The sequence below is a fragment of the Homo sapiens genome, chromosome 6 (genome assembly GCF_000001405.40).
Source record: "Homo sapiens chromosome 6, GRCh38.p14 Primary Assembly".
NCBI classification, from domain to species: domain Eukaryota; kingdom Metazoa; phylum Chordata; class Mammalia; order Primates; family Hominidae; genus Homo; species Homo sapiens.
In genome coordinates, this window is record NC_000006.12 from 168,595,905 (window position 1) to 168,610,166 (window position 14,262).

The following is a 14,262-nucleotide window of genomic DNA, read 5'->3' on the forward strand; positions in this document are numbered from 1 at the left end:
TTCCTGGATAAAGCACAGAAAGTATGTCGTGTCTGGATCATCAAACCATAAATTCTGTGCACTAATAAAATTTCTGAAGAAGCGCTGCGGCGGTGCTGAGTCTTCCTGGGTGCTGCTGGAGAGGCATGAACAAGCGCCACGTGAACACGGCAGTGATGAGTTTCCTGGGTGCTGCTGGAGAGGCATGAACAAGCGCCACGTGAACACGGCAGTGATGAGTTTCCTGGGTGCTGCTGGAGAGGAATGAACAGGTGCCATGTGAACACGGCAGTGATGAGTTTCCTGGGTGCTGCTGGAGAGGCATGAACAAGCGCCACGTGAACACGGCAGTGATGAGTTTCCTGGGTGCTGCTGGAGAGGAATGAACAGGTGCCATGTGAACACGGCAGTGATGAGTTTCCTGGGTGCTGCTGGAGAGGAATGAACAGGTGCCATGTGAACACGGCAGTGATGAGTTTCCTGGGTGCTGCTGGAGAGGAATGAACAGGTGCCATGTGAACACGGCAGTGATGAGTTTCCAGGGTGCTGCTGGAGGGGCATGAGCAAGCGCCACGTGAACACGGCAGTGCTAAGTCTTCCAGGGTGCTGCTGGAGAGGAATGAACAGGTGCCATGTGAACACGGCAGTGCTGAGTTTCCCGGGTGCTGCTGGAGAGGCAGTTTCCGCCATCCTCAGCTGCTGCTCTCCGGAGGCGCAGTTCCATTGAGTGATGCACCAAGTGCTCTGAGGATTTCTGCAAAGCAACAACCTCCAGAAACATTTCGCACAACCCCTGCTGTTTTCTGTTTCTTCCATGACCTAAAGTAACTTACTGAGCAATTCAGAAAGAAATGCAAATCATCGTCCTTTTTATTTGTTACCAGTTTCCTCGTTATCGTTGAGGCAAAAGCCTCTTTACTATAACCCAGAGGTAGGTTTTGTTTTATGCACCTGTGCATTTGCTGAGCAAAACCTGGAGCCCACACAGAACTTATAAGACACAATCATATGAAATTTCAGTCATTGACAAATTTCTTTCTGCTTCTTCTCTTGTTCATTAAACCGATTTTGAGCACCTACTGTGAGATTTGAATGATCCATGAGTTCTGAGCTTATTCTAAAAAATGTTGATAAGAGCATTGTCATCGTGAAGACACGATGACTTCACTTTAATGTTTATCATCCACTCTTTCAAGTGGCTGAGTACAGCGTATGAGGTTGCCAGGGGAGAATGATTGTTAGTCACTTTGGAATAGAAATATAGGGGAGAGTCTAAAAGGTAACATTTGTTTTTACATTCTTGCAGTGAAGACACAAAACGTATGCTTTTACAAAATCTAATAGCAACATTTGGTAATATAGTCAGTAATGGACTAATCATAAAATTACGAATCTGATTATCCTCAGATGTTAAACAGAGTTGCTAGATATGCTAAAATCAGGGTGGTTTCCATTAATACCATCACAATTATTTATTATCTCAAAAGAAATTTATTGAGTGCCTATTACAAGCCAGGCATCCTTTTAGCATTGGAAAAATTATGCAATAGCTAACATTTGTGGAACTGTGTCAATATGCCACACTGCACCTATAATCGCTTTTAATCCCCAGAACAATCCTTTCTGCTGGGCTGTGATGTGGACGCACCACACCAGCTATGGCAGTGCTGAGCAGCTCTTATCAGCTTCCTACTGTGTTCCACCTGTCTGATATCACCTTTAGGGTCATAAAAGCTCTATAAACTATACACTGTAGTTAATCAGCTTCAAAGCAGGCTTAAAGCACCATTTGTGGAAAATCACTTCCAACTGGAGAGATTCGTGACGTCCCAGCCCAAGCTTCCTTCAGGCTGAGCAGAGAGGCTGCCCCTGCTGCTCCACCTGCGTGTTCCTGCTGCAGCCAACAACAGGTCACATGGTCTTTCATTCCTAGATGCTACCGCTCTCCCCCCAGGTGAGGGCCAGTCAGGAGGCGGTTGCCAGCACGCACTTATTCTCAGGTATTCCTGGCTTAACTATTTGGGGCAGAAGATGGATGTCAGACATACATGTCTAAACAAAGGAGAAACTGAGTTTATTAACAAAAAGAGACCAACCTTTGCACATGGCAATATGAGGTCCTAGAATTTTTAAGTCATTGTTTTATTTGCATGTGAGTGAGTGTCAGTATTCATGTAGCACAATGCCTGGTGCACAGGCTGAGTATGAATACCTCTCATTATTATTCTTTACCAGTTTTCAGTAACAAAGCTTGTTTTGGAAAGAGTGCAGTGGAAATTTTCACGATTTGGGGCTGAACAACTTTTAGATAGCGTGCACCTGTTCTGCTTAGATTTCACCTAAGTCAGACCTTGGGGAGACCCCAGGTGAGAAAGTGGATTTTCTTACAAGTCTCCCCCTCGTTTGGGGGTGGGGGATGGACGATGAACCGCATGTTGAGAATGAGGAGAGAGGGGTCACACAGGGAGCCTCGGAGTCTAAACACGACCTTGCCCTGGGGCCCGCTCTGAGGAATCTCCAGCCTCAATGACACGTGGCTCGGAGCAGGGAGTGGAGAAGACTTCCAGCCACAGGGCTGGTTCTGCCTCGTCACATTCAGGAGTCCTGTGGGCATCAGATCTGCTCCTGGATCCCCTCTCCCAGGCGACTGCCCATGCTGACTTGTGAGCTGTGCTGCGTGTTGAGCAGGAATGTCCATCACTGTGGGTATGCTGTTGAGAGATCCGTGATCACAGCAGCATGCGAGGCTGCGGGAACTGGAGCCATGTGAGGTTCTGCCTCTCCTGCTGTGCCCCCCACGCTGGCAGGCCCTCCTGCTCCGGGGTGAAGGAGGACCACATCGTTCTTGGCAGTTCTCTGTGGCCTCCCAAGAGCTCTGCATGTGGGACGACGTCGCTGGATCCTGCTCACCTTTTGCCTTCTTCTTCCCCGCAGTGTCATCCTGTGACCAAGAGCACCAGTCTGCCCTGGAGGAAGCCAAGCAGCCCAAGAACGACAATGTGGTGATCCCTGAGTGTGCGCACGGCGGCCTCTACAAGCCAGTGCAGTGCCACCCCTCCACGGGGTACTGCTGGTGCGTCCTGGTGGACACGGGGCGCCCCATTCCCGGCACATCCACAAGGTAAATAGGGTGCACCCACCCCCCCCGGGACCATGGGAGGCTTTGGGGTGTGGAAGCCAGGAAAGCAGAACCCCCACTTCCCCCAACACACACCGACACACAGTCACACACACACTCACACTCACACACACTGATACCACACACATACCCACACACACCCACGCTCTCACACACACCCACACACACTCATACCACACACACACTCATACCCACACACACCCATGGTCTCTCTCACACACACCCACACACATACCCACACACACCCACGCTCTCACACACCCACACACACACATACCACACACACACCCCCACACTGTTTCACACACACTCATACCCACACACAACCACTCACACGCACACAATCATACCACACACACCCACACTCACACACACACTGACACACACACATTCATACCCCCCACACCCACACTCACACACACATTCGTACCCCCACACACCCACTCACACCCACACACAATCATACCCCACACACCCACTGACACTCACACACACACTCATACCCCCACACACCCACTCACACACACTCATACCCCCATACACACCCACACTCATACCACACACACCCACACATACCCCCACACACCCACACACACTCATACCACACACACCCACACCCACACACACTCATACCCACACTCACACACTCCCCTACACACTCTCACACTCTCACACACACACCCACAGTCACACACAACCACTAATACTCTCACACACTCATACCCACACTCATACAATCCCCCAAACACCCCCCCACACACAAACATACCCACAGTCACACATTCACCCCACACACACACACACACGCCCCCCACACCCACAGTCACACACAGTCTTATACACACAATCACCCACACTAACTCCCCCGACACATCCCCACACTCCCACACTCACACACTCCCCTCTCATACACACCCACACTCACACATCCACACTCACACACACATACTCTCCCCACACACACACTCACACACAGTCTGTCCATCAGCTGTGGGTGTTGCACCTCTTCACCTGGATGGTCTGGTTCTCCAAGTGGCGATCACCCAACGCTGGGTGATGCTCTGCTCTTGTGCATGAGCTGCCTATAAAAGCCAGTGGCTTGGTCAGGCGCGGTGGTTCACGCCTGTAATCCCAGAACCGTGGGAGGCCGAGGCGGGTGGATCACCTGAGGTCAAGAGTTTGAGACCAGCCTGGACAATATAGTGAAACCCTGTCACTAGTAAAAATACAAAAAATTAGCTGGGCGTGGTGGTGGATGCCTGTAATCCCAGCTACTCAGGAGGCTGAGGCAGGAGAATTGCTTGAATCCGGGAGGCGGAGGTTGCAGTGAGCCAAGATCACACCATTGCACTCCAGCCTGGGTGACAAGAGCGAAACTCTGCCTCAAAAAAAAAAAAAACAAAAAAAAAAACAAAAAAAAAAACAGTAGTTTCAACTGTTGGAAACTGGAGGAAACCATTTCTTTGATGGCCTCCAAAAGCACCCGAGTGGCAGCTGGGAAGCAGCAGTAGCTTCGCCTTCACAGGCAGCGCTGGCTCTTCTGCCCCACTCACGCCGGACGGAATCTGAAAGGTGGCTCTGGGACCCAGTGCCAGGGTGGAAACGTGGACGGCATCAAATACCAGTGGCAGCTTCCTTCTGCTCCTGGTTTTGGGAAAGGGAGCTCAGCATTTCATAAAGTGAAAGAACCGATTGTCCAAGATGGCTTTTTATGGTATTCACATATGTGTGCCCCAAATTTATCGCTTTTAGAAAAAGTGAGGCTGTGCTAAAGACAAGGGCAATGAAAGTTATTCGAGGGCCTGAAATACAAAAACAACTTGTTCACTGGAGTTTTGTGTGAGTTGGAGCAACGTGAGGGTTTTCACAGTAGCTCCTGAAGAACAAGAGCTGTGTGTTCATGGAAATTGTATAACCGTGAGTAGAAATGGTTTTGCAGCTCTTTGTAACATGAATTTGACTTCGATGTGTCCTAGATTTATATAAAAATAGTTTTAAAGTATATGAAAATATGATCTCTTAAATGTTATCAAATGTAGCCGCTGATGTCACCTTTAATGCTTAGGCATGAGCATTTGGACGCTTCCTAAACTGTTTTCCAAATTTGTCACCAAGTGTCACCAGTAGACATTTGTGGGGGAAACTGTGTAGTTTCCAGGGGCTCAAGCCGACTAATGCCTGTTTCACCAAGATCGGGTCCACCCATCACCGTCTGGCCCGCTGGGAGTCCTGCTTTGGGGAGTGTGATGACGCTGGAGCGTGAGTGCTGCCCCTTCCTGGCCAGCGCTCCACCGTCCGGCCGCCCTGGCTGACCGCCTGCTCTCGACACCCCACTCAGCCGACACTGCACAGGGGTGCTGAGGCCAGCGGCTGAGGCTTGGCTTCTGCGGGGCTGATATGGGGGATTGGTTCAAACCCGTGTGCTCCGCAGGGCTTGAAGAGAACATAAAGCTTTTCAAGGTTTTGGTATGAGAATTATTATTTTTTTAGTTTCTGTGCCTAGGTATAGAGGGAGTACTGTTTTCTAAGAAACCGTTCTTGGAAGCAATGTTTCTGCGTATCTTAGAGCTCTGGCTGGTTTACAGTGCATATAAGTTGGGGCAGCCCCAGCCCCCAGTGAGGCCCCTGTAGCAGAGGTAGAGACCGCTGGCAGATGCTGTTTTACACACGCCAATGAAAATCTTTAAGCTGTCAAACCCAGAGCTCCTCAAACTGGCTCTGAAATTATGAGATCAGCATTTACTACGCTGTGCCTGAAGAACCTGCCAACGTCCACTATTGTGATAGGCTAGAAACACAGTAACCCCTCTCTTCCCGTCCATCGATGCTGGTTTCATTCTGCCTGGGCTTCATTCCGCTGTCATGGCAGAAAGAAAAGTCTCTGGCTCTCCTGTTTCCTATTTCTGCCTACAGAAGCGGGCAGCTCCGTCTTTTTGGAGTTTCAGAAAGAACATGAAAGTAAACAAATGGAGACAGCTCCTTTGATTCTGCATGTAATTTTACCTTTATTATTATTCATTCATTCAGCACAAATACTGATTATCAACAACATTCAAACCCTCTTTCAGGGACTGAGGAAATAGCATTGAATAAGAGAGGAGAGGCCCCACCTCTCCTGCGGTTTACACTCTTCCAGGGGGGTGTCGGACCCAGAACTGCTGTCCCTTGCTGCCAACAGAAAGCCCTCAAACTTACCTAGTCTCAAAATGTACTTCTCACTCGACTCTCTGGAGACAGGGAAGTTCTGGATGATTTCAGCGGTTCAAAGACATAATTGTTATAAGTCGTTGGTGGGGGCAGTTGTTGTTGTTTTGGTCTGTTCTGCCGTCTTCTTCTTCCTGGTGTGCTTTGCGGCTTGTTCATGTTATAGCTGTTAGGGCATCACAGTGATAATGTATTTTCGAGAAAGAGTTTTTCTTTTTGTCAGCAGAGAAAATCCTTCCCCACCCACCTGCGGTGGTTTCCCCTCACACTAATTGGCCGGAATATCACTGAACGCCCAGACCCAGACCTGCCTTGGACTGGGGAGAAAAGGGGAAGGGACCTGTTGTGGTTCCTTTTTCAGCACCCAGGGCAGGACTAGGATTAGCCCCTTGGCACCCACAGCCACGTGGAGCAGGGTCTGTGGCTAAGACAGTCTTGGTTTTGTTACAAAAGTGGAAGGGGAGGCAGCCTGCAGGGTCTGGTTCCTCGTGCAAACAGTTAGACAGGTGGTAGACACAAAGATGGTAGAGGTGGTGGGGCAAGACCAGGGCTGGGCCCAGTGAGGGCAGGTCAGGGTGCCGGCACAGGCCTCTCTAGGGCCGAGATGCTGGAGGCAGTTGTAGCCACAGTGGCTGGGGAGGGTTGTTTCAGGCAGAGGGCAGGTCCTGGGAGAGATGAGTGTGGTGTGTTTGAATGGGGAGTGACAGGGTTTGGCTGTGTCCCCACCCAAATCTCATCTTGAATGGTAATTTCCATAATCCCCACATGTCGTGGGAGGGACCTACCCTGTGGGAAGTGATTGGATCATGGGGGTGGTTTCCTCCTTGCTGTTCTCGTGATAGTGAGTGAGTTATCATGAGATCCGATGGTTTTATACGTGTCTGACATTTCCCCTGCTTGCACTCACTCCATCCTGCCGCCCTGTGAAAGGGTGCCTGCGTCTCCTTTGCTTTCTGCCATGACTGTAATTTTCCTGAGGCCTCCCCAACCATGCCAAACTGTGAGTCAATTAAACCTTTTTTTTTTTTTTTTTTTTTTTTAGAAATTACCGAGTCTCAGGTATTTCTTCACAGCAGCATGAGAACAGATTAATACTGGGGGTGTCATAGGGGTGGGGCAGATGGGGAGCAGCTGGTGGAAGCCAGAGAACAGAGCGGGTCCACTCACAATGGGGTTGGAACATCTGTCACGTCTCAGCTCCCCTGGGAAGCTGCTGGGACAGTTTAGCAGAGGAGTGATACAATCTCTCAACAATCCTGAAAAACACTCACATTTATTCATTTACCTTTTATTCAGTAAACATGTGAATGCCCTCAATGTTCCAGGCATTGTATTGGGAGCTGGGGATACACCAGTGAACAAAACAGGTACAGTCCATGCTTCCACGGAGCCTGCATGATAATGGGAAGATGCAGATATAAGCCAAACACATCACACTTAGCAGACATGGGTAAACATGTGGTATAATGTCAAATGCTCTGGAGGAAAAAAAAAAAAACCAGTAATCCACAAGAGGGACTTGGGATGGGGCACAGCTTGAAGGAAATGGCAGGGGCGACTCCCTGAAATGCCGACATCAGAGTCAAGACCTCAAGAAGCAAGGAAGCCTGCAGAAGTCCAGCCTGGTCAGAGGTGGTGAATGCCACTGAGGGCCCAGCCCCAGAACCCAGTGCAGTTTTTATCAAAAGGTGGGGTGTATCAGTTAGGAAGCTTTTGGTTTCATGTAGTGAGATGAGAAACTGATGAATGAATATAAATGACCAGAGATGGCATGATCTCCCTAAGAGGCACAGCAGTGGAGCAGGCTCAGCCTCCATTGAGGCTGTCATCTGGCAATGTTGCCGAGGACATTCCCTCTCCCAAAGCCGCCCTGACACCCTCATTCTGTTTTCTTGGCCATTAGGCAGGTTCCCCTCTTGGTCACAGGATGGCTGCAACAGATCCGGACATCTCATCCAGATGCCACAGTGCTCAGAGGACACAGGAGCCCATCTCTTTGTTTCTTTGGAGCCAAAAATCCCTTCCCTAGAATTCTGCTAGCAAATTTAATTCATGGATCATTGGTCAGAATTAGATCATATGTCCATGGCTAAACCCACTGCTGGCAAGAAAAATTGAGTTGGTTTACACTGGTTTGAATTGATCACCTAGGGAGACATGGGTACTGGGCACCAGGCAAAATAATCAATATTAGGCAGTATCTGATAAGCCACAGCCAGCTTCACCATTCCTCATCTCCCAGTGATTCTGCCATTATTGAGTAACCAGGTCGCATTTCTATTTAAATGCCCTCTGTTCCCTCAGCGCAATTTTCTTATTAATTTTCTGAAATAAGCAGCCCCAGGGAGATACTTCATAGTTTTGATTTATACCTGGGTTGGCAATTAAGATGTTTGTTTTCTTTAATCATCCTCTAAATTTCCTGATGGGGAAGAAACATTTAATAATCCAGTAACAGTAAGAAGCTATAAACATAAATTGCATCGTCTTTGATATGTGACCTCTCTTATCCTCATGTCACCATGCATGAGAATTAAAAGGCGTTAGTTTTGTGGCAGACTCATCCCAAGGACCACAAGTACATGCCACTCTGCCCAGATGAGGCAGGAGCAGCTTGCTCTGGTGCAGTTTCTAGTTGGACCCATCACTTAGAAGGAGATATGAGGAGGGGCAGAGGCTTCAGCCCTTCCTAGTGCCCCTGACTTTTGTGTCAAAATTGGCATCTTCGTCATTGTTTGCAGATCCCGGAAGGAGGGGTCCAGGCACCTGTCATGAGTGCAGGCCCCCATGAATGGTAGAGTCCAGGTGGGAGCCGAGGGGCAAGTTTCCCCTCAGCCACTAACAGTAGTGAGGAGAGAATGGGAAGGGGCCATCAGACTGAGCTGAGTCAGGCTGATGGCCAGATTCTGCATTCATGCCCAGAACAGAGAGGCTGATGAAGCCTTTGTCTGTCTGCCATCCAACTGCTGGCTGTTCCTACCTCACATCTGGGCAGCCTCTGTTCCTGGACCCCAGAGCATGTCTCTCAATGAGGTGTGTAGCCTCTGTTCCCCAACCCCAGAGCGTGTCTTTCAGTGGGGTGTGCAGGGGATCATGTGGGCATAGGACTGCATTTCTCCCTGGCAGAGAACCTGGTATCTGATGGGCAATGAGAGAAGAGACGTTTGTGTTTTTCCTTATACAAATAAGTTAAAATAAACCTATTGAAAAGAATGGTGATGGATGACAAAGCTGAAATTAACGGACTTATTTCTCCTCTTTCTCCTCTCTTGAGATTGTCAATTCTGCAAGTCATGGGCATTTCACACTACTCATTAAAACAAGCAGAATACTGTCATGTAAATATATATTTTTATATTAGCATCAGTGATAGGATTTGCAACATACCTCTATCCCAAATGTGGAACAAAACCGAAATGCCCGTCCAGGTGGCTGGCTTCCTGATTGCTTCGAAGCTAGGAGATTTGGAATGAGGGTAAGAAATGATCTAGTCTCGTGCCACCCATGTGAAGGATACAGGTACTGATCCTGAAGGGCTTCAGGGGCACAACAGAGTTCATGTTAACACTTCCTTTTTCTAACACTACAGAGCAGTCCAGGGCTCTAAGGAGGTGTGCCCTCTGATACTCGGAGAAGCAAGATGGCCCCTAAGGGCTGGAACTCTATCCTCAGAGTCTACGTCATCCATTCTGAGCTGGGACATTCGCCTGGCTTTTGGCAGCTCCCCCTTCATAAGCCCTCGGGCAGGAAGGGTCCATTCTAATGTAGGTCTCAATTCGGCCCCTGAGACACTGACCCGGAGCTTGAAGTGAAGATCGTTCAGCCCTCAGAGTGCCCTAGTTCTACAAATTTAACACGCATAAGTAAAAATAAGAGCTTCCTAATCCCTCAGGAAGCCAGCTTCCTGTACACATCATCTCTGGGTGAATGTTTTACTTCTCACCTGCTGGCCGCAGCAGCAGCTGCATTAGGAGACACCTGGCTGGGTAACAGGTCCTTTACTGAGTTCGCCTTTCTTGTGACCTCTTGGAGCTGACCCCCACCCCCACATTTTCAAAGAATATGAGTTAATGGCTTTCAGTTAGAATGTGATAGCTTAACTGTTTGCCAGAGTGTGTCAGAGACTTTAATTTCAAAAACAATATTTCAAAAAGATATATTAAGTTTGTCTGACTGGGGTGGCAGGTTTTCTGGTATCAAAGAGGCTATTGAGGGCCAAGGGTGGCAGGAATGTGTGGTTCCTGACTCTTATGACAGCTGGATGGGGTCCTCTCACTGGGACTGCTGGACTCTCTGGGGCCTCTGTTAGAACACTTTAAATATGTCCCTTTAGAGAGAAATTTCATTTTATTTTCTATGGCTGAAAAGCATGTAAGCAATGAAAAAAATAGAACCTAAAGTGATCTCTGTGAAGTAAATAGGATCTTGTAGCCCTTTCTTTAAGAATGAAAAAAGAAAATAGGGCAGAGGGAGAGGATGAGAACTGGCGGAACGCTGGCCTCCTGACAACCTCAGGGCTCCGGGCCGGACCCCCTCCCGCTGGCCTCCTGCTTGTCTTCTTCATTTTCCAAGGAGTCTTTCTGGAGCCCCAAGACTGCACCTGTGCCCCATGATGGTGTTGGCGGGCACTGCGTCTCCCAGTGTGTCACTTGCCAGGGCCTGAGGAGGCCGCCACGAAGGATTCCACGTGCCTGACACTCATGGATGGGAGGGGCAGGGGGCTGGGGAGCCGCCATGCAGCATGAGGTCAGCTGAGTGGAGGGGAAGCGAGGAAAGTTGGTGTGGGCTGTCTGGGGTCCTGCGAGTCCACAGAAAGGGGCGGTGGGTGTGCTGACCCAGGAATCTCCCATCTCCCGGGAACGCACCTCCCCGGCGTCTCCTTCATGCTGGTGAGAAGCCCCACTTCTTGGTGAAAGCCACAGTGAAGGATTTCTGTGTGCGGAAGATTGTCCTCCTTGGGGGTGGGGGCTCCGGGAGGCAGGTTCTCATGGTGGCCCGCACTCTGTTTAAATGTCCACCTCCTCTACTGGATGAGGCTGGTGGTCTGCGTGGCAGGGGTCTCCTCCTTGCCCTACACCCAGGACAAGGATAAAACCCAGGCAAAGCAGGCCTTGGTCAAGGGCTGCTGAATGGCATGCATATGGCAGTGTTTATGAGCTGTTTACCGGATTTGAATCTGACACCCTTAGGGACAGGCACCCTGGTTCCCACTGCCAATTCAGTAGTACCACAGAGCCACTTGCTCCCATGAGCTCTGCAACCGCAGCAGCCAGGGCACCTGCCCTCTTGGATGTCAGCCCTGTCTGTTCAGGACTTAACCTGCAGTTTGTCATTGATGCTAAGTGGGACCAGAGAGTCGTTTTTTTTTTTTTAACACTGAGGCAGACTTTCGTAGCTTCACGAGGTGGATTGGAAATGAGTTGGCCTTTGGTGCTACAGGAATCTAAATCCTGAAGTCCTTTGCATCCTTTCCTTGGGCGGGGTGGGGGTAGTGGTCACACCCTCTGTCCTCGTGCACACACTCCTGCTCTGACGAAACAACCCAAGTGCTTCCTCCATCCAACCCTGCAACGGGAGGAGGGGGAGGTGTGGGCGCTGCTCCATCCAACCCTGCAACGGGAGGAGGGGGAGGTGTGGGTGCTTGGCAGCTGCTAGATGAGATTCATTTCAGAGACGGGATGGAGAGACGGCCCTGCTGTGTGATTGAAGTCACAGTGTGCTTCTTCCTACTGACTGCAAGCAATAGCTTTCTATGCCAAATATCCACAAAGGTGACAGAAAGGAGTGAGGAGGTCATGGGTGTCATAGCATCAGAGCCACAGGTCACGGTGTATGCTAGGGTAGGACACTCCAGAAATGGAAGACAAACCACAGCTGGTCTCAAGCCCGTTGTTTTCTCTCTCCTTCCCCCGCCTTCCCCCCGCCCATAGGTACGAGCAGCCGAAATGTGACAACACGGCCAGGGCCCACCCAGCCAAAGCCCGGGACCTGTACAAGGGCCGCCAGCTACAAGGTGAGCAGCACCCGCGAGTGTGGCCCGAATCCACAGGCCCCACCATGCAGTTTCTTGCAAATTTGGAATGAAAAAGACTTTATCTGACTCTGTTTCCCAGGGGGCCTGTCTGACTCTGAGGCCTCCTACCTCCTTGCAGAGGGCCCTGAGTCCAGGCAGGGAGACAGGGGGCCAGGAGCCCACACGGGGAGCACCTGGGGGGCTTCCTCCCTGCTGCTGTGTATGGAAGGTCAGACATGGAAGAGAAAGAAAGGGCCCCTCACAAATCAGATCAGCACACAGCACCCTAACCTCTCTAGATGCTCCTGAACCCCACAGCCCAAAGAACCCTTTATTCATTCTACCTACATTTCACTGTCACTTTCTGACATTCCTTTTTCACTGAATCAACAGTTCATGAAGCTAAAGTTTAGGTTTTAAGAAAACATGAGTTGAATGTATGTATTGAGTTTAATTACAAAGAAATATTGTAATTAAACAGAGGTGAATTAAAATTTATAATAATTGAAAAATGCAGTCACAAAAAGACGTCATGGGGTGAATTTGATATATCATTAAGAAGCTTCAAAGCTACTTGCCATTTGTTTCATTTTGATCTTTTTTTCTCTAAATATCTCCAGATTGTGTATGTTTAACCAACATCTCAGAGACATGAAAATCACACTACAGCGTACTTTGTTTAGAGTACGTGCTTGATCTTGTCTCATACAGAAACTGGATGAATTCCGGATGAGTAAACTTTTGTGCTTCCTGTACTATTTGTACTGTCATTGGTAGAAAGGTTTTAAATTGTAAAAAGTAAAGATGTTCGGCTTATAAATGAGGACAGGGTAGAGCAGAATGTCCACAGTCTATACATGTTTCATTGCTACGTGTTCATAGCGATTCCACAACATGAGTAACGAGAATGGTTGACACAGGGAAGCAGAGGGCGGAATGTGGTTCCGGGGACACACAGCACAGTTATTCTGCCAGCTCTTGGTAAACACCGTGCAGCTCACTGGGCTGGCTTGTTAGGAACTGTCTTTGTCTTAGTTCTTCATGGTTTCCCAGCCGTGTACCTCCTCAGTGTCTTCCTTGTGAGGCAGGTTTGAGGAATCTGTTGGTTCTAGTAATTTTTTTTTAATGAGAGTATGGTCCTTGTGTGAGCAATCAACTTGCTTTCTGTTGAATGAATCAGCTTCTTTCTGGATCTCGCAGGTGAGGGTGGGGGAAGAGATCACGATGGTGCAAACACACCCGTCCCTGTGCATGCCTAGTGAAGGGTGTTTTGCCTTTGACCCCGTGTCTGCAGGCTGTGCTCAGCTGCTGGCTGAATTCCATCCCCCTGATGGCCCTGTCAGGAGGGAGTTCTCCTCCTCCATTATCTGGTGTCATCTCTTGTCTCTGAAGTCCGATTTTAATATTGGTGGGCAAGATGTTTCCTTAAAAGACATAATGAGCTTCTCACATGCTTGCTGCATGGAAAGCCCTCAATAAATGTTTCCTGGTTTTGGTTGGTCTTGACCTTGTCACGTGCACTTCAATCTGTCTTTTGCCCCTAGTGTACTTCTTGAAGAGTCCAAGATTCTTAACTTATTTTTTTTTTCGATAGCACAAAGTTGCATCACTTCTAAGCCAAGCTGCACTGTGGTCTTCACACAGGTGATACGAGTGCAATTTATGGAAGTCAGTTTCGCTTCTCATTGGTAAAAGGGACCGTGACAGAGGCTGGCTTCTGCTGCCTCTCAGGAGTGCACGTGGCAGGAAGACCTTTTCCTGGTGGAATCTAATCTGTTACACTCTAGACCCAGACTATTGATTTAAAGATGACACAGTCATTTGTCCAGTGAGAACAACTGGTCCTTGATATTGAGAAACATGATGTCATTGTCTTCTCTGAGTGTCAGAGGTGCCATTTGGAGATACAGCATCCCACACTGTGAGG

The 14,262-nt window shown here is 49.0% G+C and overlaps 1 protein-coding gene across 4 annotated transcripts in view, besides 1 other annotated feature; it reads left to right on the plus strand.

Annotated features, from left to right (window-relative positions):
• Positions 1–14,262, plus strand: part of SMOC2 (SPARC related modular calcium binding 2) — a 226,809-nt gene that overhangs the window by 154,721 nt on the left and 57,826 nt on the right. For all 4 annotated transcript variants that reach the window (NM_022138.3, XM_011536066.2, NM_001166412.2 and 1 more), the window contains exons 8-9: positions 2,914–3,100; positions 12,253–12,335. In NM_022138.3, coding sequence (NP_071421.1) covers positions 2,914–3,100; positions 12,253–12,335 — 270 coding nt within the window. The remainder of the gene's footprint in view (positions 1–2,913; positions 3,101–12,252; positions 12,336–14,262) is intronic.
• Positions 10,684–11,220: an enhancer, noted in NCBI's record as "H3K4me1 hESC enhancer chr6:169007268-169007804 (GRCh37/hg19 assembly coordinates)". NCBI's record gives its function as "activates a minimal SCP1, AML or CMV promoter by ChIP-STARR-seq in naive H9 embryonic stem cells {active_cell/tissue: H9 hESC(naive)}" and the evidence as "EXISTENCE:reporter gene assay evidence [ECO:0000049][PMID:30033119]".